Source organism: Homo sapiens, chromosome 16 (assembly GCF_000001405.40).
Source record: "Homo sapiens chromosome 16, GRCh38.p14 Primary Assembly".
Lineage (NCBI taxonomy): Eukaryota > Metazoa > Chordata > Mammalia > Primates > Hominidae > Homo > Homo sapiens.
This window is the reverse complement of record NC_000016.10, coordinates 16,856,710-16,857,752: the sequence shown is the minus strand read 5'-3', so window position 1 is coordinate 16,857,752 and position 1,043 is coordinate 16,856,710. Positions and strand designations below refer to the sequence as shown.

The 1,043-nt window shown below is 42.9% G+C and overlaps 1 annotated feature.

Annotated features, from left to right (window-relative positions):
* Positions 209–776: an enhancer, noted in NCBI's record as "NANOG-H3K27ac hESC enhancer chr16:16950834-16951401 (GRCh37/hg19 assembly coordinates)". NCBI's record gives its function as "activates a minimal SCP1, AML or CMV promoter by ChIP-STARR-seq in naive H9 embryonic stem cells {active_cell/tissue: H9 hESC(naive)}" and the evidence as "EXISTENCE:reporter gene assay evidence [ECO:0000049][PMID:30033119]".

Here is a 1,043-nt window from a genome sequence, read left to right as displayed (position 1 = left end):
ACTGACACCTCAATGAGAGCAAGTTGACAGTCTTTTCAAGAGCCAGGTTTAATAGGGGAGAAGGGAGATAAATGTAAAGGTATGGAGAAACTTAGCAGCAAAGGGAGAGATACTCAAGGGGATAGGATCAGAAACCAATGTTTATTGAGGCATTATGCTACTAAGAAAAAGAAGAATAGCTACCTTTTACTGACTGCTTAAATGTGTCAGGTTCCATGCTGTGTTTTTTACATATGGGGGCATCATTTACTGAGATACCTGTTTGTGTTTGTTCTTGTTGCTGAAGGATGCTCAAAAGATCAAGAGGGATTTTCCCTGCCTCATCTGAAAAACAAGTAAACAACCCTTGTGCTCTGAGACTGTTCTTCTTTATATCCCATTGGTTAGGGTGCTCTTAGGCAATAAAATATCCAAAGAAAAGTGGCTTAAACAGTGGGGAAAATGTCTCATCTCATCTCCCATCAGAAGGAGTCTGGAGGGAGGAGGCTCCTGGGTAAGTGATGTCATTAAGGACGTGGGCTCTCTTGGGTTTGGTCATGCTCAGCAGGTAACCTTGGTCCTTGAGATTCTTCCCTTTGATGCTCAATTGTCATGACATTGGACCAAACAAAAGGGGTTTTCCCCACTCTGTGTCTTGTCTTATAAACAAAGACTCAGTCTCCTACCAACTCACCATTCTGATATCTTTTAGGATATGACCATCATGTGCTTGGTCCAAGATGGCAGCAGCTGCATAGGAGACAGCAAGATGGAAGAAGAAAAGAACATCAAAGGGCAGGTATGTCCCTTAAAGAAGGCTCCCAGAAGCTGCCACCCACACTTTCTACCTAAATCTCTTTGTCCAGAACTCAACCACATGGCTATCCCTAGCTATGAGGCAGGCTGCAAAATGTCAGCCTTATTCTAGGCATTTCCTGTGTAGCTAAACATTCTGTTGGTGTGAGTGAAGAAGAAACTGGCTACTGAGGACAACTAGAGTCAATATTAACTCAGTAGAAACTATGAGACTTCCAGGACATAAGACTCATCCCAGCTTTGTTTAG